The 23,406-nt window shown below is 41.6% G+C and overlaps 2 protein-coding genes across 2 annotated transcripts in view, besides 2 other annotated features; both read left to right on the top strand.

Annotated features, from left to right (window-relative positions):
- Positions 1-23,406, top strand: part of NUDT3 (nudix hydrolase 3) — a 112,991-nt gene that overhangs the window by 37,483 nt on the left and 52,102 nt on the right. The window contains exon 2 of the mRNA NM_006703.4: positions 13,215-13,325. Within this exon, the coding sequence (NP_006694.1) occupies positions 13,215-13,325 (111 nt within the window). The remainder of the gene's footprint in view (positions 1-13,214; positions 13,326-23,406) is intronic.
- Positions 1-23,406, top strand: part of RPS10-NUDT3 (RPS10-NUDT3 readthrough) — a 138,876-nt gene that overhangs the window by 70,883 nt on the left and 44,587 nt on the right. The window contains exon 6 of the mRNA NM_001202470.3: positions 13,215-13,325. Within this exon, the coding sequence (NP_001189399.1) occupies positions 13,215-13,325 (111 nt within the window). The remainder of the gene's footprint in view (positions 1-13,214; positions 13,326-23,406) is intronic.
- Positions 454-953: an enhancer, noted in NCBI's record as "H3K4me1 hESC enhancer chr6:34322011-34322510 (GRCh37/hg19 assembly coordinates)". NCBI's record gives its function as "activates a minimal SCP1, AML or CMV promoter by ChIP-STARR-seq in naive H9 embryonic stem cells {active_cell/tissue: H9 hESC(naive)}" and the evidence as "EXISTENCE:reporter gene assay evidence [ECO:0000049][PMID:30033119]".
- Positions 8,480-8,559: an enhancer, noted in NCBI's record as "active region_24381". NCBI's record gives its function as "activates an Ori minimal core promoter by ATAC-STARR-seq in GM12878 lymphoblastoid cells {active_cell/tissue: GM12878}" and the evidence as "EXISTENCE:reporter gene assay evidence [ECO:0000049][PMID:35858748]".

Raw genomic sequence — 23,406 nt, 5'->3', positions numbered from 1 at the left:
CTTAACCTAATAAAGGGCATCTACCCCAAACAGCTAATATCATACTTAATATTGAAATAATGAATACATTCCTCCTAATACTGGGAATAGATAAGGTTGTCTGCTCTTACCACTTCTATTCAACATTATTCTGGAAGCCCCAGCCAGTTCAGTAAGGCATGAATGAGAAATAAAAGAAATATAAATTAGAGGGGAAGAGGCAAAACTATCTTTATTTGCTGTTAACATGATCATCTATATAGAAAATCCTAAGGAATCCACCAAAAAGCTACTAGAACAAATGAACAAATAAGTGAATTTAGTATGGCATAGAATATAAAGTATACAAATATAAAATAAAATATAAGTATACAAATATAAAATAAATATATAAAATACAAATATAAAATATAAAGTATACAAATATAAAATAAATACAAATATAAAGTAAATAAATATATATATATATATACTTTTTCCCCCCCGAGATAGAGTCTTGCTCTGTCGCCCAGGCTGGAGTGCAGTGGTGCCATCTCAGCTCACTGCAACCTCCGCCTCCCGGGTTCAAGAAATTCTCCTGCCTCAACCTCCCAAGTAGTTGGAACTACAGGTGCCTGCCACCACGCCTGGCTAATTTTTGTGTTTTTAGTAGAGATGGGGTTTCACCATGTTGGCCAGGCTGGTCTCGAGCTCCTGACCTCAAGAAATCCATCTGCCTCGGCCTCCCAGAGTGTTGAGATTACAGGCGTGAGCCACTGTGCCCGGCCAAGAGTGTGTATGTGTGTGTGTGTGTGTGTGTGTGTGTGTGTGTGTTTAATGAAATCTCACTATACTGCCCAGCTGGAGTGCAATGGCTGTTCATAGGATGATCATAGAGCACTGCAGCCTCAAACTCCTGGCCAGGCCCAGTGGCTCATGCCTGTAATCCCAGCACTTTGGCAGGTTAAGGTGGGTGGATCCCGTGAGTCCAGGAGTTCTAGACTAGCCTGGGACCAGGCGCAGTGGCTCACGCCTGTAATCCCAGCACTTTGGGAAGCCGAGGCGGGCGGGTCACCTGAGGTCAGGAGTTTGAGACCAGCCTGGCCAACATGGTGAAACCCTGTCTCTACTAAAAATATAAAAATTAGCCGGGCTTGATGGTGGGTGCCTGTATTCCCAGCTACTTGGGGGACTGAGGCAGGAGAATCTGAGGCAGGAGAATCGCTTGAACCCAGGAGGCAGAGGTTGCAGTGAGCCGAGACCATGCCATTGCACTCCAGCTTGGGCAACTCTGTCTCAAAAAAAAAAGAAAAAGACTAGCCTGGGCAACATGGCGAAACCCTGTCTCTACAAACAAGTATTAGCCGGGTATGGTAGCAGGCGCCTGTAGTCCCAGCCACTCAGGAGGCTGAGGTGGGAGGATTGCCTGAACCCGGGAGGTCAAGGCTTCAGTGAGCTATGATGCACCACTGCACTCCAGCCTGGGTGACAGAACGAGATCCTGTCTTAAAAACAAAAACAAAAGCAAGGCTGGGTGTGGCTCATGCCTGTAATCCTAGCACTTTGGGAGGCCAAGGCAGGCGGATCACTTGAGGTCAGGAGTTTGAGACCAGCCTGGCCAACATGGTGAAACCCTGTCTCTACCAAAAAAATAGAAAAATTAGCTGGATGTGATGGCACGCACCTTTAATCCCAGCTACTCGGGAGGCTGAGGTAAGAGAATCGTTTGAACCCCGGAGTTGGAGGTTGTAGTGAACAAGACTCTTGTCTCAAAAAAAAAAAAAAAAATACTTGGGAGTTGTGTATAGGTAAGTAAAACAAGATTGGCAAACATTGATAGTTATTGAAGCTGGACAGTGACTACTTAGGAATTCATTATATTTTCTCTCTGCTTTTATGCATGTTTGAAATTTGTGTATAACAAATAATAAGTTTTAAAAACATACCCTGTGGTTATTTAAAAAAAGGAAGGGGCTCTCAGAATGTACTGATAAAATGATCTCCAGGATTTAAGTGAAAAGGCAAAGTAGAACAATGTGTATAATGGGTTACTATTGGGGTTGACAAAGGGGAAAGAAAAGAATAAATATGTATTTGTTTATACTCATATGTTAGAATATCTCTAGAAGTCTTCACAAGAAGTGCCTCTTGGGACAGAGTTAAGAGAAAAGGCTTGCTTTTCATTATGTTTTTTTATACCCTTTGAATATATACATTATGTACTATTAAAAAAATAGATGTTTGAAAAGAGTAGAATTAGGAAGACGAATTCTAGACACATATACCTCTATCAGTTTAGAACAACAGAATATTAATGCTGAAAGAATTTTAGATTTGGACCATCTCATTTTAAAACTAAAAAAGCTGAAGTCTAGAGAGAGATAATTTTTTCATTGCATTTATGTGACTGGTGTCAGAGGCAGACCTGTAACCCAAAGTCTCCTGACTGTCCTCCTCTATAAAGATGACAGTGTACATTTGTGGTTTAAACTTTGACATCTTAAATTAGACTGAATTGTGGTTAATAAGTTCATGCTACCTTGGGAACACAATACCTGCCCTTGAGTTTACAGTGAATGTCTTCTGTTTGAGCATGTATTATGGAGGCTATCATTTGGTACATGGCTTGGCAAAATCAGCATATTGATGAGCAGGGATTTTACAGTGTATTCCTGTAGTTCTAAGACTGTGGGAAAGTTATGCAATTCATGGATGTCAGGAAATGTTGCTGTGGCTTTGTTTATTAAAATAAGCTCAAGGCCCAGGGATGGTGGCTCATGCCTGTAATTCCAGCACTTTGAGAGGCTGAAACAGATGGATTGTTTGAGCTCAGGAGTTTGAGACCAGCCTGTGGAACGCGGTGAAACCCTGTCTCTACAAATAATGCAAAAATTACCCAGGTGTGGTGGTGCACACCTGTAGTCCCAGCTGCTGGAGTGGGTGGGGGGTGTTGAGAGGATTGCTTGAGCCCGGGAAGTTGAGGCTGCAGTGAGCCAAGATGGCACCAGTGCAGTCCAGCATGGGCGACAGAGTGAGACCCTGTCTCAAAAAATAATGATATAATAAAATAACCTAAAGAAACTGGAGCATTTTAAATATTTCATTCACTTTATTTGGCTTTCAGAATTTTCCTAGGAAATAATGTTTGGGATTCTTCTTGGCCAATTATAAGTTTTTTTTTGTTTTTTGTTTTTTTTGTGGAGACAGGACCTCGCCATGTTGCCCATGTGGGTCTTGAACTCCTGGGCTCCCACAGTGCTGGGATTACAGGTGTGAGCCACCATGCCCACCTCCATTTATACATCTTAAATATTTGTTCTAAAATATTCAAGCCATACTCAAGGTTTTAAAGTAAAGCACCTCATCCTTAGCACTGCCAATTGCACTGTACAGAGGCAATCTCTGTACACCCTGGGGACTCACTTAAGAATGATACATCTGTGTGTATGTATATTTTTTCTATTTCTTTTTTTTTTTTTTTTTTTTTGAGACAGAGTTTGACTCTTGTCGCACAGGCTGGAATGCAATGGTGCGATCTCGGCTCACTGCAACCTCCACCTCCTGGGTCCAAGCAATTCTCCTCCTTCAGTCTCCCGATAGCTGGGATTACAAGCGCCCACGACCACGCCCAGCTAATTTTTGTATTTTTAGTAGAGTCAGGGTTTCACCATGTTGGCCAGGCTGGTCTCGAACTCCTGACCTCAGGTGACATGCCCGCCTTGGCCTCCCAAAGTGCTAGGATTACAGGCATGAGCCACCGCGCCTGGCCCTCTAATTTTTTTTTTTTTAAAGACATGGTCTTGCCTTATTGCCTAGGATGGAGTGCAGTGCACAATCATAGCTCACTGTAATCTCAATCTCCTGAGCTCAGATGATCCTCCTGCCTCAGCCAGCCACTAGGTCTGGCTAATTTTTTTTGTAGAGACAGGTCTCTCCATATTGCCCAGACTGGTCTTGAACGCCTGGCCTCAAAAGATCTTCCCATCTTGGCCTCCCAAAGTGTTTTTTTTTTTTTTTTTTTTTTTTTTTTAGGCAGGGGAGTGTAGAGACGAGGTCTCAATGTGTTGCCCAGGCTGGTCTGAAACTCCTAGGCTCAAGTGATACCCCCACCTCAGCCTCCCAGAGTGCTGGGATTACAGGGGTGAGCCACCGCGCCTGGCCACCAAAGTGTTCTTTTTTCCTTTTTTAAATTTCTGTCAGTGCGCATCCCAAAGTGTTGAGATTACAGATGTGAGCCACTGCGCCTGGCGCCGATATCTGTGTAATAGTTTGTATCTGTGGAAACCTTTTCATATTGTTCTTAAAATAATCTTGTTGCTCCCAAGATAAAAACTGTCAGAATATCTGTTCATAGCACAGTATGGTGTTTCTTTGTACTAGGCAGGGAATTTCCTCTTTGATTAAATAAGCAGCCTGATAAGCTAACTAAGGTGAAGCAATGTTTATAAGGCATTTTGTAAATTGACTGTTTATGTCTAGGGGTTCCTCCTTTTAGCATTTTTTTTAGTTCCTCTGTAGCTAAAAAAAATAGTTTTAAATTTTTAAAATAACTATTAAAAATAGTAGAATGGCTTTAAAGCTCTAGAAACTGAAACTTCTGTGCTTGGCCCTGTGATAATTTATTGATTTACTTTCAGCAAGTTATTTAACCTCATACTCAGCTTTACTCATCTTTTAAACATTTTATGGGATCATCATGCACAAGACTTTGTGACAGCTGTTCTTTAAAACACTGTGTAAAATATAGTATACGTCCATTTATCTGGAATCCAAACAAGTACAGATAATTACTCACTTTCATCTTGGCCTTATTTTTATGAAGGGACACATAAATTATTTAAAGGGCTCATCTGAAGATGCAATTTGCAGAGCATATCACAAATTTGATAGGATCTGGTCCTGGTGCCATCTGGGGTACCAGCAGAGCACTCTGGCAGTATTGGCAGTGCTAAGGGGCTTGTCAGATGTCAAGGGAATTGCATTGTTGGAAACAAGATCATGTTGAGTGCTTTACTGTATGCAACTGATTCTCCAGAAATCAGTAATATGTCCAGTCATGTAGTTTGTTAATCAAGATTTCCTATGGCATAGATTATCACCATAGATAATCTAATTTCTTTTCTTTTTTTTCTTTTTTTTTGAGACGGAGTTTCGCTCTGTCGCCCAGGCTGGAGTGCAGTGGCGCGATCTCGGCTCACTGCAAGCTCCACCCCCCGGATTCACGCCATTCTCCTGCCTAGCCTCCCGAGTAGCTGGGACTACAGGCACCCGCTACCACGCCTGGCTCATTTTTTGTGTTTTTAGTAGAGACGGGGTTTCACCGTTTTAACCAGGATGGTCTCGATCTCCTGACCTTGTGATCCGCCCGCCTCAGCCTCCCAAAGTGCTGGGATTACAGGCGTGAGCCACCGTGCCTGGCCTAGATAATCTAATTTATTTAAGGAGAGTATTTCCAGAACTTTAACCTAGGATCTCTGGAGTATATCTATGCCCACTATACCCTTGGCAGTAGGAATGGAGACTTGTCTGATACCAAGGTGGATAGTGGGTGGATAGGGAGAAAGGGGTCAGATCCTCTGGCCAGAGCTTTGCAAATGCCCATGTTCCCCTTCCGTTAGTCTCATTCTGGCTGGAAGATTCTGATACCATTGTTTCCAAAATCACCGTCGGTTTCCCTCTTAACTCCAGTCCCACATTCATATAATTTCTCACTAGAAATACTCATTAGATGTCTCACTGAACCCTCAAATTCATATGTTCAGAGGATGATTTCACAACTCCTCCCTGTGGTTCCCTCCTCCACTGACGCCTCCATATTCTCCTTGGAAGGCTGCTACACCATTGACCCAGCCCATATCCAAGGAGTCATATTCCCACGTCCTGTCAGTCACTTGGTCTTATAGACTCTTCTTTCTATGTATCTGGAAACCTATCACTTCCTTCTACTTCTGCCTCCTACTGTCTTAATCATTTCTCAACCTGAATTACTGCAGGAACCTGCTCCATTAGCATGCTGTCCCATCTCCAACATATGTCAAAGTAACCTTTCTAAAACTCAAATTGGGTTTTAGAGGCCAACTCAGGAGGATCCCTTGAGCCCAGGAGTTCAAGACCAGTCTAGACAACATGGCAAAACACCGTCTCTACAAAGTAAAAATAAAAAATATTAACCAGGCTTGGTGGTTAATAAATATATTATTTTAAAAATAAAAAATATTAACCATGCCTGTTGTCCCAGTTACTTGGGAGGCTGAGACAGGAGGATCACTTGAGCTCAGGAGTCCAAGGCTGCAGTAAGCCACGATTGCACCACTGCGCTCTAGCCTGGGCAAAAGAGCGAGATCCTGTCTAAAAAAAAAAAAAGAGAAACCTTCCCATATCATTTCTCCATTATGATGCATCCCCTACTCCCCAAGTCTGACTTGTTCTTTTGTTTCTTTCTATTTTTTTTTTGAGACGGAGTCTTGCGCTGTCACCCAGGCTGGAGTACAGTGGCGCGATCTTGGCTCACTGCAAGCTCCGCCTCCCGGGTTCACACCATTCTCCTGCCTCAGCCTCCTGAGTAGCTGGGACTACAGGCGCCCGCCACCACGCCCGGCTAATTTTTGTATTTTTAGTAGAGACGGGGTTTCACTGTGTTAGCCAGGATGGTCTCGATCTCCTGACCTCATGATCCACCCGCCTCGGCCTGCCAGAGTGCTGGGATTACAGGTGTGAGCCACCGCTCCCAGCCTGTTTCTTTTTTTTGAGACAGGGTCTTGCTCTGTCACTCAGGCTGGAGTGCAGTAGTGGGATCATAGCTCACTGCAGCCTCGACCTCCTGGGCTCAAGCAATCGTCCCAACTCAGCCTCCCCAGTAGCTGGAACTGTAAATATGCACCACCACGCCTGGCTATTTTTTTTTTGGTGGGGGGCGGTTTCTGTTGTTGCTTTTGTTTTTTTGAGACAGGGTTTCATTCCCATTGCCCAGGCTGGAATGCAGTCATGTAATCTTGGGTCACTGCAACCTCCTCCTCCTGGGCTTTAGCGATTCTCCTGCCTCACCCTCCTGCATAGCTGGGACTACAGGCTCACACCATCGTGCCCAGCTAATTTTTTTGTTTTTGTTTTTGTTTTGTAGAGACGGGGTCTTGAACTCCTGAGCTCAAGTGATCTGCCCGCCTCAGCCTCCCAAAGTGCTAGGATTACAGGCATGAGCCACTGCACCTGGCCTAATTTTTTATTTTTATTTATTTATTTATTTATTTATTTTTTTGGTAGACATGGGGGTTTCAGTATGTTGCCCAGGCTGGTCTTGAACTCCTGGCAAGTGCACCTCCTACCTCAGCCTCCCAAGTAACTAGGACTACTGGGTTTACAGGTATGAGCCAGTACGTCCGGGCAGGTATCTCTTTTCATTATCACTGTGGTATCCTCAAGCTAAGTATTTCTCACTCCGTATAATTACTCTTTTTTTGGTCTTTCACTAGATACTCAGTTCCTATAGGGCAGGGACTATGGGTTTCTTTTATATTTTAAAAATTTGTATTAAGCACTATTTAGCAAAAAACCCCACAACAATTTGTAAGAAATAAAACAATGGTGTTCCTGCTGTATTTCTCCCTCCCTTCATTAGGTTTATCATTCCCACAGATTTATCATTTCACTGCACACATGTCACTAATCAATAAAATGTTTTTTCTTCTGTGCCCATGTGGAAAACAAGTTGTCACTGCACCACCTGTTGATTTCTGCCTGCTCTGCAGAGCCACCTATATCATGAATCCAAGAGTCTATCTATGGATGGGTGTGTTCTGTGGGTCTCTCTATCCACTTCTGCGTAGATATCACCTGTCTCAATGACTAAAGCTTCAAAAAGGTCTGATACCTGGTCAGCTGGTTTCCCATTTTGATCTGCCTGCAAACTGCAGTGCAGTTAATCTCTTCCTCTCCAGTTCCTGGCTCATGATGTTACTTAATGAACGTTTGTTGAGTAGGTAATTTTTCCCCTTAGTGTATTATTTTTGAAATCTTTTTGGAGCTTTTGCACTTAATTTCTTTTCAGATAATTGTATATGTCAAAATCAAACTTCAGAATAAGAATTTACTGAACAGAACACCATTTAGTACTTTATATGATAGGAAGGAGTAAAACCACTGGCTAAAGTAAAAAATTTTTGTGGGTGGGCACAGTGGCTCATGCCTGTGATCCTAGCACATTGGGAGGCCAAGGCAGGAGGATTGCTTGAGGTCAGGAGTTCAAGACCAACCTGGCCAACATAGTGAGACCCCCATCTCTAAAAAATGAAGTTTAAAAAATTTAAAAATTAGCCGAGCATGGTGGTGTGTGCCTGTAGTCCCAGCTACTCGGGAGGCTGAAGCTGGAGGATCTCTACCGCCAAGGAGTTTGAGGCTGCAGTGAACTTTGATCCTGCCACGGCGCTTCAGCCTGGGCAACAGAATGAGACCCTGTCTCTACAAAAAGCAGAAACAGAAACTTTTTTTTTTTTTGTAGTAAATTTTCAATAGGTTGTCAAGGAAACTTACCGAGGAGAGCTATTTACCAGTAACAGTGTTTGCTTTGAAGTGTGGCTACAAACTAATGAGGCTTGCTTCCTTCAGCCTCATTATTGTAGTCCTAGTTCATATAGTCATGGCTGACTGTGCAAAGCAATAACACTTGCTAGATTTACTAATTAGTATTTCACATTGATTGAAATTTAGAAATTGAATGCTTATCTTTTGTCAGAGGTTTCCTTTTCTTTGCTTTATCTTTGAAATATTCCTGTAAAGGTTTTTCTTTTGGACTGTAACTTCATTGGATGGCCTTAGTCAGCCTTTGAAGCAATGCTTAGGTTTATAATGGCTGGCAAACACTTTACCGGGAAGTAAGGGAAGAAAGACTACGTGTTGTTATTTATACAACAAGTCACTGGAGGATTAACCCATTTTACTACTTTTTCTTCTTGAATCTTTTTGTAGTTGGATAAATATGACTTAAATGCTTTTGTCTACAGTCTTTGGAGGCCTTTTTTTTTAACCTTGTAATTCGAATTAACTTACATGCTTATATTTGGGTTTATTTTCTTTTGATAAAGAATGTTGTAAAATGTAAGATTGGTCACAGTTATTGAAGAGAATGAGTGTGGCAGTAGTTTTATGATTTAGTAATATAAAACTTGGCCGGGCGCGGTGGCTCACACCTGTAATCCCAACACTTTGGGAGGCCAAGGCGGGCGGATGACCTGAGTTCGGGAGTTCGAGACCAGCCTGACCAACATGGAGAAACCCCATCTCTACTAAAAATACAAAAATCGGCCGGGCGTGGTGGTGCATTCCTGTAATCCCAGCTACTCGGGAGGCTGAGGCAGGAGCATTGCTTGAACCCGGGAGGCAGCGGTTGCGGTGAGCCAAGATCATGCCATTGCACTCCAGCCTGGGCAACAAGAGCAAAACTCCGTCTCAAAACAAAACAAAACAAAACAAAAGTAAGGATAACCTTCTGGAAGGTTACTCCATTGAGGTGTAGACTCTGGGGGAAAAAAGTAGTAGCACTGAGTCCCTTCAGCTTTTTTTTTTTTTTTTTTGGGACGGAGTCTCGCTCTGTCGCCCATGCTAGACTGCCGTGGCGCAATCTCGGTTCACTGCCAGCTCCACCTCCCGGGTTCACGCCATTCTCCTGCCTCAGCCTCCTGAGTAGCTGGGACTACAGGTGCCTGCCACCACACCCGGTTCATTTTTTGTATTTTTAGTAGAGATGGGGTTTCACCGTGTTAGCCAGGATGGTCTCGATCTCCTGACCTTGTGATCTGCCCGCCTCGACCTCCCTAAGTGCTGGGATTACAGCCGTGAGCTACCACGCCCAGCCGACTCCCTTCAGCTTTTAAAAAATGACAGTGATCAGCTGGGCATGGTCGCACACCTACAATCCCATCACTTTGAGAGGCCGAGGCAGGTGGATCACCTGAGGTCAGGAGTTCAAGACCAGCCTGGCCAACACGGTGAAACCCCGTCTCTACTAAAAATACAAAAAATTAGCTGGACGTGGTCGTGGGCACCTGTAATCCCAGCTACTCGGGAGGCTGAGGCAGGAGAATCACTTGAACCCGGGAGGCAGAGATTGCAGTGAGCCAAAGTTGCACCACTGTACTCCAGCCTGGGCAACAAGAACAAAACTCCGTCTCAAAGAAACAAAACAAAACAAAACAAAAAACTGTGATTGCAAAACTAGTTTTCTTTTTTTTTAATCAAAATGGAATTCATGTAACATACCATTAGCCATTTTAAAATGAACAATTCAGCCTGGCGCAGTGGCTCACGCCTGTAATCCCAGCACTTTGGCAGGCCGAGGTGGGTGGATCATGAGGTCAGGAGATCGAGACCATCCTGGCTAACACGGTGAAACCTCATCTCTACTAAAAACACAAAAAATTAACTGGGCGTGGTGACAGGTGCCTGTAGTCCCAGCTACTCGGGAGGCTGAGGCAGGAGAATGGCGTGAACCCAGGAAGCAGAGCTTGCAGTGAGCCAAGATTGCACCACTGCACTCCAGCCTGGGCAACAGAGGGAGACTCCATCGGAAAAAAAAAAAGAACAATTCATTGGCATTTGGCAATCACCATTTCATATCTACTTTCTGAATACTTTCATTTTCCCCAAATAAAACCCTGTGCCTGTTATGCAGTTGCTGCTCATTTTCCCCTTCCCCCAGTTCCTGGTAACCACCAATCTGGTTTCTGTTTCTCTGGATTTGCTTATTCTGCTTATTCTGCGTATTTCATATTCATGGAATCATACAATATGTGGCCTTCTGTGCCTGGCTTCCTTCCCTTAGCATGTTTTCAAGGTTCATCCATGTTGTAGCATCTATCAGTAATTCATTTTTTTAATGGCTGAATAATATTCCATTGTGTGTATAGGCCACATTTTGTTTATTCATTCACTCTTATTGGATATTTGAGTTGTTTTTACCTTTTGGCTATTGTAAATAATGCTGCTATAAACATTTGTATGGAAGTGTCTGTTTGAGTACCTGTTTTTAGTTCTTTTGGTTGTATACCTAGCAGTGGAGTTACTAGATCTGATGGTAATTTTATGTTTAACTTACTGAGGAACAACCAAATTGTTTCCCACAGTGGCTGAATGAACCATTGTACATTCCTATCAGCAATGTATGAGGGTTCCATTTTCTCTATATCCTTGCCAGCACTTCTTATGCTGTTTGGTTGATTGAATTATAGCTATCCTAGTGGGTGTGAAGTAGTATCTCATTTTGGTTTTACTTTGCATTTCCCTAATGACTAATGATGTTGAGCATCTTTTCATGTGCTTATTAGCCATTTGTATGTCTTCTCTGTAGAAATACTGTTTATCTTTTTATTGTTTTAGATACTGGACCTGTATTAAATATATAATTTGCAGATATTTCCTCCCATTGTGTAGGTTGTCTTTTCACATTCCTGATTATGTCCTTTGTTACACAGAAGTTTTTAATTTCAATAAATTCCAGTTTATCTTGTTTGCCCTTTTGTTGCTCATGCTTCATATCTAAGAATTTGGCATATCTTGCCAAATTCAAGATCATGACATTTTACCCCTGTGTTTTCTTCTAAATGTGCTATAGTTTTAGCTCTTACATTTAGGTTGTTGGTCCATTTTGATTTTGTATAAGGTCTGAGACAGTCCAATGAGAGGATTTTTTTTTTTTTGAGATGGGGGTCTCACTCTGTGGCCTAGGCTGGAATACAGTGGCTTGATCATAGCTCGCTGCAGTCTCAAACTCCTGGGCTCAAGCAGTCCTCCCAAGTAACTGAGACCACAGGTGTGCACCACTAAGCCTGGCTAATTTTTTTTTTTTTTTTTTGTAGAGACGAGGTCTCATCATGTTGCCCAGGCTGGTCTTGACCTCCTGGGCTCAGGCAGTCCTCCTGCCTTGGCCTCCCGAAGTGCTGGGATTACAGGTGTGAGCCATCACACCTGGCTCTTGTAGTATCTTTTAACTGAGTATATATACATATCAACCAAAAACTACTGTGGATTTCATAGTATTTTAAATTATTTCACATTGTATTAATCAAAGCAGAGCTTATAAATATATTTGAAAAATAGTACTTGTAAGTTTAAGACAAGTTTTCAGTCCATGGCCTATATATTAGTGACTGAGTATGGATTCATGGATTTCCTTCCCATAACACCATGATCTTCTCTGAATCTACAGATCACATATTTTGTAGATGAGCATCAGAAGAATCTCTTATGACAGGAACAAGAGGGACTGAGGATGAAGGTAGAGTTTCCAAGGGTCCATAGCTGCAGAGACCTCAGGGAAGAGGCTGGGGATGACTGGAATGTTAGTAACTAGAAGGCAGTGGTGGAATCTATAAGGGCCAGAGAAGGAAGTAGCATTTCATTTGAGGCAACAAGGATGGTTGCAGAGTTTGGTTTGTAGGCTCACAGGTCATCATCAGAAAGTAATGGTTTAGGGAGCAGTTGAAGATTCCTTTAGTTTTGGAAATAATGCCAACTCAACTCAGCCTCCAAACAGGGAGTCTAACTGACTTTGTTTAGCATCTTTCCTACAGAGAGGGGTAAGTAAGGAAAAGGAACTAGGCAAATTCTAGATTTTTATTTCAACTCTGACCAGAATGCTGGCTAAGTCTTTTAAAAAAGTCCAGTTTTAGTTTAGCTGAAAATGTGATGAAAGGAATTTTTCTACTTCTCATGTGGCCAAGAGAATTAGGGTCCCTTAGAGTCTAGGGTGGTGTATTGTATTGGCCTGTGGCCATCTGATGGAGCAGGAACTGGGATACAGCTCCCAGTTCATGGGTGAGAAACTTGGAGGGAAAGTGTTGGACCATGATGGCAATCATGGCCAAGGGCCTTTTGTCTTCTGGCCAGCTTTTTCAGTGCTGACAGGCTCATCAGTGACAATCCTCTTTTTTTTTTTTTTTTTTTTTTTTTGAAGTCTTCTATTCACCTTGTCAGGTCTGTGTTCAAAGGGCTCTAGCAAAAGGAACAAGGAGGGGATAAATAGAGCAGGTGATTGAGCATCTGAGGGGAGTGTAGAGATAATGGCCTTCAGATGCCCTTCTGCTTTTACTAGCTGATGCCTACTTTTTCAAATAGAAACGAAAGCTACTTTGCAAGAAGTGATTTGGGAAGGCATAAACAAAGAATGGGTCTTGGTTACTTTGATGTTTGTGGTGTTTAAACTCTGAATTTGTGTGGATGTGTCTTTGAATTTTTAACCCCCCCATGCAACCTTTGTGACTTAACAGGTGCTACTCGTGAGCAGTAGTCGCCATCCAGACAGATGGATTGTCCCTGGAGGAGGCATGGAGCCCGAGGAGGAGCCAAGTGTGGCAGCAGTTCGTGAAGTCTGTGAGGAGGTATGCATGGAGAAGAGAGGGCACAGCTGTGCCTCGTCATCATGAACCTGTCCTATCTGTGTAGTTCTTTAATATGTCAGCACTCACTGAATAAATATACAGTCACAGAAAAAGGGCAATGAATGGTTATCCGGTCCCTCCTTTATTACCGGGTGATGGAGTTGTGACATGGTAATGTTAACCGGCACTCTGTGCCAGACTTCCCATGACTTTTTATGCCAGACTTTTGTTACTTCCCATGGATTTCTTCCAACACTGCCTGTTACCTGTGGCACAAAATCAAGAAGCAAATAGTTCCTGACCTCTAAGGAGTAAGAGGAACAGGCAGCATTAGTATAAATGACTCATTGTCATTAAGCTTTGGAGGAGGCCCTTGTTTTCCTGTGCTTACTGCATCCTAGCCATGGAACTGTGGCTAAAGGAGTGATTATGTTAGCCAGATACTGTTAATGGTACAACTTGAGAGAGAATAGTATCTTCTTTTTTATTTAGTCACATGATGTTCCACATACATGTGTTGAGTTCCTGGGCCATGATATCCTACTAGATACTCCAGAATAAATAAAAGAAGTAAAGTCATGGACTCTTAGTTCTCTTATTTCAAGAATTTACAGCCTGGGGGAAACTGAGAAACAGATTGCAATTGAAAACCCAGAGAAACGAACTATTATTTTTCCATAGCCTCTTGTGGTGACACCATGCTCTGCTTTTCTTGTTATCTCATTTAGGACTCATAACTCAGTTGTGTAAGCTTTATCGCCCCAGTTTACTCGCCCTGGCCACATAGGTAGTGCTTTTGAAATCCATTTCCTTGTTCCAGAGGGAATATAAGATTGATTCTAAGAACATATAAAAAAGCACTTACAACAAGTCTAATTCCTATGTTTCTTTTGGATCCAGCTTTTGATGAAGTGCTCTTAGAATAATCTTACCCTTGGAATATCCAAGGAATTCTTTCCTCACTCTGAATTCCTACACTTACATTGGCTTATGTCACTCTCATTGTAGCATCTATCTTATACCCATAACTAGATTGTTCTCTCTGAGGGCAAAAATCACGTTTCCCATCAAAAATCCTTACTTTCCATGCCTAGTACACAGCTAGGTGAACAGAAAGTAATTAATACATGCTTCTTTGATAGATGGAACAATGGTTGGAACAATGCAGATGCTGAAGAAATACCCTAAATGGAAATTGTCAGAGTATAGAAAGTGATAAACATTGACAGAGAGGATGTGAGAAGGCATTCTTACAGTGGGTGGTAAGGAGGCTAACCCGGGTAGAACCAAATGGAATCAAGAGAGGGTGTAATGAAAAGAACATTGACGTGGGAATCCTGGTTTCTGTTACTGTCAGTTAATAGCTGCGTGACCTATGAGAAAATAACTTTAAACACCCTGGACTTTTGTCCTTCATTTGAATATCTTCCTTTTTACTCCATCATGGAGGGAGGGGAGGGGAATATGAGGTTCAAACGAGAACATGAGTATGAATGTCCTTTGTGAATTATGTATCACTCTACCACTTAGGATGTATGCAGCTGAAAATAATATTATGCCCCTTACTGTTCTGTAACAGGCTTATTATATCGCATAATAAGAAGTCCCAGGTTGGCTGACTCAGCAGTATTAAGAGCCCAAGTGCTTCCCTTCTTTCTCTTCTGCCATCCTTGGCTTTTGTTTGCGGGCTTGTCTCCTTGTAGTGACAAGATGGTTATCACAGCTCTATCCTTACACATTCTTTTCAAATGCAGGACACACAGTTTCACCTCATGGGTCTCTTTATTTGAGAGAAAAGAAATTTTCCCCAAAGGGTCCCCCAGCAGACTCTTTATGTCGGTGTTTCAGAGTTGCTTTGTATGCTTATGCTTAAACTTCCTGGCAAAGGGAATGTCGGTTCCATGTTTAAACTACTAAGCCGTCACCGTCTAGGATTTGACTTTGAGAAACCTCTTAGACTTTAAAGCAATTTAAAAGCATGGCCAATAAGAGAAGATAAAATGTTTATTTTGTTAGAAATTTAGCTTACATTGGAATGTGCCAATATATGTTTACTCTAAAAAAGAATGGATAGATAATATGTAATTTTAGAGTGAGAAAAAATTTATTATACAGGCCATACAATCTCTGTCACAGCTATTTAACTCTGCCATTATAGGGCAAAAGTAGCCATAGACAGTACAATACATAAACAAATGGGCCTGGCTATGTTCCAGTGAAGCCTTATTTATAAAAACGGTGGTGAACCATAGATAATCCCTGGTTTAAGCTCTTGCTACTCAGAGTGTAATTGATGGACCAGCAACATCAGCATCAGCCAGGAGCTTGTTAGAAATGGAAAATCTCAGACCCCAACCCAGATCTACTGTATCAGAATCTGATTTTAATAGGACCTCTGGTGATTTTGAGATACTACTGCAGTAGAGTATTGAATTGTTACCAGTGAGTGTTCTGAGAATTTCTCCTGATGGATCTTGTGGAGAGAAATGCTCTTTGAGGGATGGACTGTGGTTTGGTGGTCTCCACACCCATTCCAATACTCTTCTGACATGGAGAGACTAGAAAGTTAAAAAGCACTTTTCCTAAACTCAGGTAAGGAATGCAACTAAGTCTCCTTGATGATATTTAGATATCCCCAATACAAAGCACTTGAACAAGATTGCTTTAGTCACAAGGAGGGCGTGTTCTGAGAGCAGCAGGCCCATCTGTTTTGGTGGCACACATTTAGACAAAGGAGATAATGGTTTTGGAATTGGCAGCTATAGTGTTAACTTCCTGATTTGGCTGGTGGCTTTTATTTGGCATCTTCCTGATCCACCCCAGAGACAGCAACTCCCTTGGCAGTCCAGTTCTGCAATGTGGTTTTAAGAATTGTTCTTGGAACCTTGGCCTGTGTTTCTTGAGCTCTCCTAGTGATTCTGTAAACTATTTTTATCCCTTAATAAATCATTATCTTAAACTAATCAAGTTGGATTCTGTTGTCTGCAATTAAGAATTTTGACCCAACCAGATTCCCTGTGAATGATAACAGCTGCTTTAGTTGTATCAGACATTCTCCTCTGCCTGGCTGTGCTAACCCATCAAGGAATTGAGATGTCTTTGCAAAGCATCCCCCTCTAGAGAAGAGTGTCCAGTGGCTTGTGAGAGAGCTGTCTGATCTACAGTGTGTCAGTAGTTTAATCAGGCAGACCTGTTTCTGTGGGAAAGTGAAGCTGTGACAGAATCCAGTTCAGAGTCTGCACCTTCCTCATAGCTGTTTACTGATTGAATGTTATTTGTCCGTTCAGCAAATATTGAGTGCCCATCCATCTTGCACAAAACACTGGGCCACAAATTGGGGATACAGAAATTTGGGTTTTGCCATCATCACATAAGCTTAACATCTCACCAAGAATACAGAGTTAATAGGAAACTATAATTTGAAAATTAAACTTTGAGGGAACAGTTTGTACGGCATGCCGGGGGCTTGTTGGCAGAGTAGCTAACTCTGGCACAAAAGACTGGCTCCTAGGAGAATGTCTGGATGGTTATAGACCTGCTCATTTAAGATTTTCCCATTTTGGAGGGACTTTGGGGATGCAGTAGGTAGTGTGATGATGGTCTTATATATGTTATCCCCACATAAGGGAGACTAGATAGAGGAGGGATGAAGTAGCTAGTGAGCTTTTCTTTACTCTGAAGCAGAATTGGTTTCCCACTTTCCTGTCAGACCTGGGATAATGTGGAATTAGAAGGGTGTAGGCACACCCTGAAGGGCAGGTATGATTGTGTACTTTGCATCCCTAGGCCTGAGGGCACCAGAACCTTTGCCTGACTCTTTCTGTAGGAACTGAGAGTTTGACTGTTCAAATAAGTGTGGTAGGGCCAGTTGGTGGGCCTAAACTGAATAATTTTGATTTAAATCCAGTTGGCTTCTGTAGGTTCTAAGGTGCTTAAGGCAAAAATGGTGTTTGAGAGTGACCATGCAGTTGTGTATTCAGACAGATTATTACAAGACCTGAAATGGAGTGATGGTTCTGGAATAGAGAGAGAGGAAAAAGTTCAAAGACCTTGTGCAAAGACTTGATACTTGGTTTTGGGAGTTGTGGTTGGAATATCTCTGGCAGTTCTACTTTTGTAGAGCACATTTGGAATTTGTGTCTGTTTCAGGAAAGCTCACCTTATTTGTTGTCACTGTTGCTGTTCTGTTTTTGAGTGTTACAGTTGAGTTGTCCCTGGGTTATACAAGTGCAGCTAAGATATAGAAAACCAGATGTTTGCAACAGGAAATGCATTGAGGGAGTAGGAAGGATATAGGGTATTGTACTTTTGTTTCCTGGAAATTGCATACTATCCTTCTATAGGTAAAAGGGAGAATAGTGTGAAATAGGAGTAAAATAATCTTGAAGCAAGGAAGTGAAAGATCCAGCACAGATAATTAAACTACACTCCTCATGTTTAGTATCTTACCTAGCTCCTGTCTTGAAGGAATCCTGATCGTGAAACTTTATTCTCTTAATAATACTGGAATAAAGTATGGGATATGATGATGTGATTCTTTTCTGACTGCAGGCATGCTCTGCCTGCCGTTCTCAGCCTTAAAGAATCCTTCCTGACTTTGAGCTAATTTTTTTTCTGCAGTCAGAGGAGAATCATATCATCATATCTCATATTTTATTCCAGCATTATTGAGAGGATAAAGAAATGTCTGTGAACTGCTTTGAACTTTAGAATAAGTATCCAAATAAAATGTACAAACAATAAAAATAAGAGAACATGTCATTACAGAAACAGTTCAGTGGCTTCCATCAAAACAGAATGAAAGAAGTGGATTTTCCAGTTTTATCAACAGAGAATTAGACTTGAAATCGGAGACTTGAAATGTTGATAGATGTTTTTTATTGTCCTTGAAGGGAAGCTTTTGTAAACAAAGCACTGTTTAGAGATTCACTTAGTTTTCAAGATGTTTATGCTTTCAGATCTGATTTTTTATTTGTAAATGTAGGAGATTTTAATAGCCACTTTTTGAGGGGCTCTGTGGATAATACCTCTATACCAATTAGTTGAAAACCTTCAGATGTTTCAGATTGCATTTATACGTTTAATATATTTGATTTTTTTTTTAAAGAACTTCAGTTGTCCTACTTAAAAAAAAAACTTTATAAAGCTCTTCAATGAAAAAAAGTCTTGTGAAAAACTACTACAAGTAAACACAGGGGGAAGCACTTTAGGACATTGGTCTGGACAAAGATTTTATAGGTAAGACCTCAAAAGCACAGGTAACAAAAGCAAATTTAGACAGATTGGATTGTATCAAACTAAAAACCTTCCGCACAGCAAAGGAAACAATCAACAGTGAAGAGACAGTCTACAGAATGGGAGAAAATATATGCAAAATACTCATTCAACAAGGGATTACTATTCAGTATATACAAAGAATTCAACAGCAAAAAAAAGAATCTAGTATTAAATGTGCAAATGATGTGAATAAACTTTTCTCAAAAGAAGACAAATGGCCAAAAAATACATTGAACAAGGCAGGGATTAGGAGCAGCAACACCCCTCCCAAACTCCCCCACCCCACTCAAATGTGTATATAACCTTTTGTTTGTTTGTTTGTTTGTTTGTTTTGAGATGGAGTCTCGCTCTGTCATCCAGGCTGGAGTGCTCACTGCAACCTCCGCCTCTGGGTTTCAAGCGATTCTCCTGCCTCAGCCTCCCAAGTAGCGGGGATTACAGATGCCCACCACCATGCCCAGCTAATTTTTGTATTTTTAGTAGAGACGGGGTTTCATCATGTTGGCCAGGCTGGTCTAAAACTCCTGACCTTAGGCAGTCCACCCGCCTCGGCCTCCCAAAATGCTGGGATTACAGCCATATTATACCCAACCAGATTTATCATTATATATTGTATACATGTAGCAAAATGTCACTGTACTCCATAAATACTTAAAATTATTATGTGTCAATAAAAATTAATAATAAAAACATTTATAGCCAGGCCTGGTGGTATGGGCCTGTAGTCCCAGCTACTGGGGAGGCTGAGGCAGGAGGATCACGTGAGCCCAGGAGTTTAAGACCAGCCAGGGCAACGTAGCAAGACCTCATCTTAAAAAACAAAAAAAAAAAACACAGCATTTTCAAAGAAAAAAACACTTTTTTTTTTTACAAACTCCTGTAAGTCTCACATATTACACTTAGAAATAAGATGTTTTAGAGTCTTTAAATATTCCCATGCTATATATAAGCTTCTTAAGATTTTTAACTTAAAATCATGAGTCAGAAATAAATTATTCAACTATATTTTTAAAATTTGAGGCCACAAGACTGCCAGCCAGAATAAGTAACATTCTTGTAAGCATTACAAAATCTTAGATTATGTTTGGTCTCCTTAACACAAAAATACTTCTGTGGTAATAAACATTATAATATTTAAGACGTAAAATATTATAAATTATAAAATATTTATTGATTCCCTTAAACATTTTTATATTTAATTCTAAATGTTTCTAGGATTGAAAGATGCTTACCTGTTGAAGAAACTGAGCCTTCCTATTAAATGAGGCCACGACTCTTAGGTGACCTGATAGGCCACACTGACCCCGTTCACTTTTGCTTCATCAAAACTCCATAACATCACAAGGCTGGGGGTCATGGAGTTCACACAGCATGAATCAACATAGCAAATTTAGTCCATCAACATGAAGGTTACTTCATTCATGAAATCTTTGTGATTCCTTCTAGTAGGTTCACTCATGCTGTATGTTTCCATTGCAGTCTGTATTTCTAGTACTGTGGTATTGTTCATGCTTTATTGATGTTGCTTGTTTAATTACTGTCTTTTGTGCTAGACTTTATACTCTGTGTAGTCTTCCTTCCTTCCTCTCTCTCTCTTCTCTCTCTTTCTTTCTCTCCCTCTTTCTCTCTCTTTCCTCTTTTCCTTTTCCTTTTTTTTTTTCTTTTTCTTTTCTTCTCAGGCTAGAGTGCAGTGATATGGTCATAGTTCACTGTAACCTCAAACTCCTGGGCTCAAGCAATCTTCCTTCCTCAGCCCCCTGAGTAGCTGGGACTACCGGTGCATGCCACCATGCCTGGCTAATTTATTATTATTATTTATTAGAGACAGTGTCTTGCTATGTTGCCGAGGGTCTCCTAGCTTCCAGCCCCTCCTCCCTCAGCTTCCCAAAGTGCTGGGATTACAGGTGTAGGCCGTTGTACTTGGTCCCCATTTTTTCTTTTTTCTTTTTTTGAGATGGAGTTTCACTGTTGTCGCCCATGCTGGAGTGCACGATCTTGGCTCACTGCAACCTCCGCCTCCTGGGTTCAAATGATTCTCCTGCCTCAGCCTCCCAGATAGCTGGGATTATAGGTGTGCACTACCATGCCCGGCTAGTTTCGTATTTTTAGTAGAGACGGGGTTTCACCATGTTGGTCAGGCTGGTCTCTTAACTCCTCACCTCAGGTGATCCACCTGCCTCGGCCTCCCAAAGTGCTGGGATTACAGGTGTGAGCCACCGCCCCTGGTCCCATTTTTTCTTGCTCATTGTCGAATCTCCAGTGCTCAACACATATCTCAAGTGCTTAATAGAGTGCTACAATTATTGACCTCACTGTTAGAACAGCTACAGAAATGCAACTGCAATGTGCCCTTTTAGGTTGTCAGAAATAGACATACTCTCCAAATGCCTCAGTTAAGTGAGGAAGAACATGACATTGTCACAGCAACTGCCCAGCCAAGGCTGTACAAAGCTGGAAACTTGGGTCACAGTGCACCGGCAGGCATCACTCGTGACAGGTGGAACAACAGTGGAAATGCAGAGTGGCTCAAGGAGCCTGGTCACGCGCCAATGGCTCAGCCCCCCTCTTCCACTGCGGAGGACCTGCCTATCTCATCTCTTCTCAGCCTCTTAGCTTACTGCTTTTATTTTGTGTTTTTCCTGTCTTATGCAAAACTTACGTGTCTGTTGACTCTGTATTCAGCCTTCCTAAGAGAGGACCTGATTGGTTTTGCCTAGTGACAACTTCATGTAGTATGCCCCTTTGGGCAGAGCTGCCAGGTCACATCATCAGCTTCTGGCTATTTTGAAAATGTCTACCTTACCTTTGCATCAGTTGCTGATTTTTAATTCTCTTAGCTGTGCTCAGAGTAGTGAAGTCATGTGCTATAAAAGCATGGCAACCCATGGTTAAGTACCATCTGCAGCACCTTTTCCAAAGGTCCTGTGTATGTAGTAGGAACTGTTATTATCTACATTTTACAGGAGAGAAAAGGCTGAGGTTGAGTGATTTGCCCCAACAAGTTGGGTCCAGCCTAATATGCTCAAGGTAAGATTTGAATCCAGGACATCTTTCGTCCCCGACACTCCTAATGCTATGGCTCCTTGAAAGATGTCCACCAAAATGTTTGCAGTGGTTATCTTTGTTAGTTCATAGGTTATCAAGTTCTCTGCATTGAGTGTATGTTTCTTTTGTTACTAGAAAAAGTTTTTATATAAACATGAAAGGATTGAGATTATTCAGTAGTTTATCATGGCATTGTCAGTCCTAGGTCTCATTAAATTCCACCTGTTCTAAAGCTTTGTTCAGCCCAGCTTAAAAATTTTAGCATATTGGCTGAATTTCAGAAACAGATAAATCTGAAGCATTTGACACATTAGCAATCACATGTAAGGGGAGGGCTAAAATATTCCCTTTTGCAAATTAGCTTCCTTTTTTTAGCTGCTTGTGGTCAAAATCCTTTTAGAGTGACCCCTTACAGGGTTAGGGGAACAGGCTTGCTCCCATGGCCTGCCATGGGCTTTAGTAACAGTGCCTCTTTAGACTAGGGCAGCAGAAGCTGTGTGAGCCAGCCATGTGATAGTCTTTCTGTAATAAAAAAGAAAAGCACCTCTTTGTATGATCTCAGAGCTATTCTTTCTTGCTAATTCAGTGGGAAAGGTAAAACTCTTGTCTGACAGGGGAAAAAAGGGAAGCTGTGTCTGAAACCGTTCTGTCTTCTCTTCGTCTTACATTCCCATTTCCTTTACCTTTTCTCACCTCAGCCATCCCAAGAGTATTATCACAAGAATAGAGAACATCCAAAAACAGAAACAGGAGGAGAAAATTATGTGCCTACAGTATAGCCATTCCTTGGTATTGGTTTCAGGACCCCTGATGGATATAAAAATCTGCCGATGCTCAAGCGCCTTATATAAAGTGGCAGAGTATTTGCATATGACCTACACATATCCTCCCATATACTTTAGATCATTTGTAGATTGCTTATGCTACCTCATGCAATGTAAACACTATGTAAATACAGTTGACCCTTAAACAACAGGGGATTGAACTGCACGGGTTCATTTATATGTGGATTTTTTTCCAGTAAAAGTTACACCATTATACTGAGTGTGCCTGCCTTTCCTGCTTCCTCTTTTACCTCCTTCACTTCTGCCTCTGAGGTGGCCCCTGAGACAGCAAGACCAACCCCTCCTCTTCCTCCTCCTCTTCCTTAGCCTACTCAATGTGAAGATGACGAGGAAAAAACCTTTACTGGGCTCCACTTCCACCTAATGAACAGTAAATATATTTTCTCTTCCTTATGGTTTTCTTAATAACATTTTCTTTTTCTAGCTTTAATATAAGAGTATAGTAAATAATACACACAACATACAGAATATATGTTAATCAACTGTTATTGGTAAGGCTGCTGGTCAGTAGTAGATTATTAGTAGTTAAGTTTTGGGAGAGTCAAAAATTATATACCCACCGGACATGGTGGCTAGAGGTTAGGAGTTTGAGAACAGCCTGGGCAACATAGTGAGACCGTATCACTACAAAAAACAAAAAATTTTAAAAAAAATTAGTTGGGCGTGTTGACACATACCTGTAGTCCCAGTTACTTGGGAGGCTGAGGAGGGAGGATTGCTTGAGCCCAGCATCAAGGCTGCAGTGAGCCATGATTGTGCCAGTGCATTCCAGCCTGGGTGACAGATCAAGACCCTGTCTGTTAACAAAAAAAAAGTATACACAGATGTTTGACTGCGTGGGAGTTGGCACCCTACCAACTTGTTCAAGGATCAACATTATTCAAGGATCAACTGTAGTTATACTATATTGTTTA

This window comes from Homo sapiens, chromosome 6, assembly GCF_000001405.40.
Source record: "Homo sapiens chromosome 6, GRCh38.p14 Primary Assembly".
Lineage (NCBI taxonomy): Eukaryota > Metazoa > Chordata > Mammalia > Primates > Hominidae > Homo > Homo sapiens.
The sequence above is the reverse complement of the archived record's forward strand: the minus strand, read 5'-3'. Positions and strand labels throughout refer to the sequence as shown.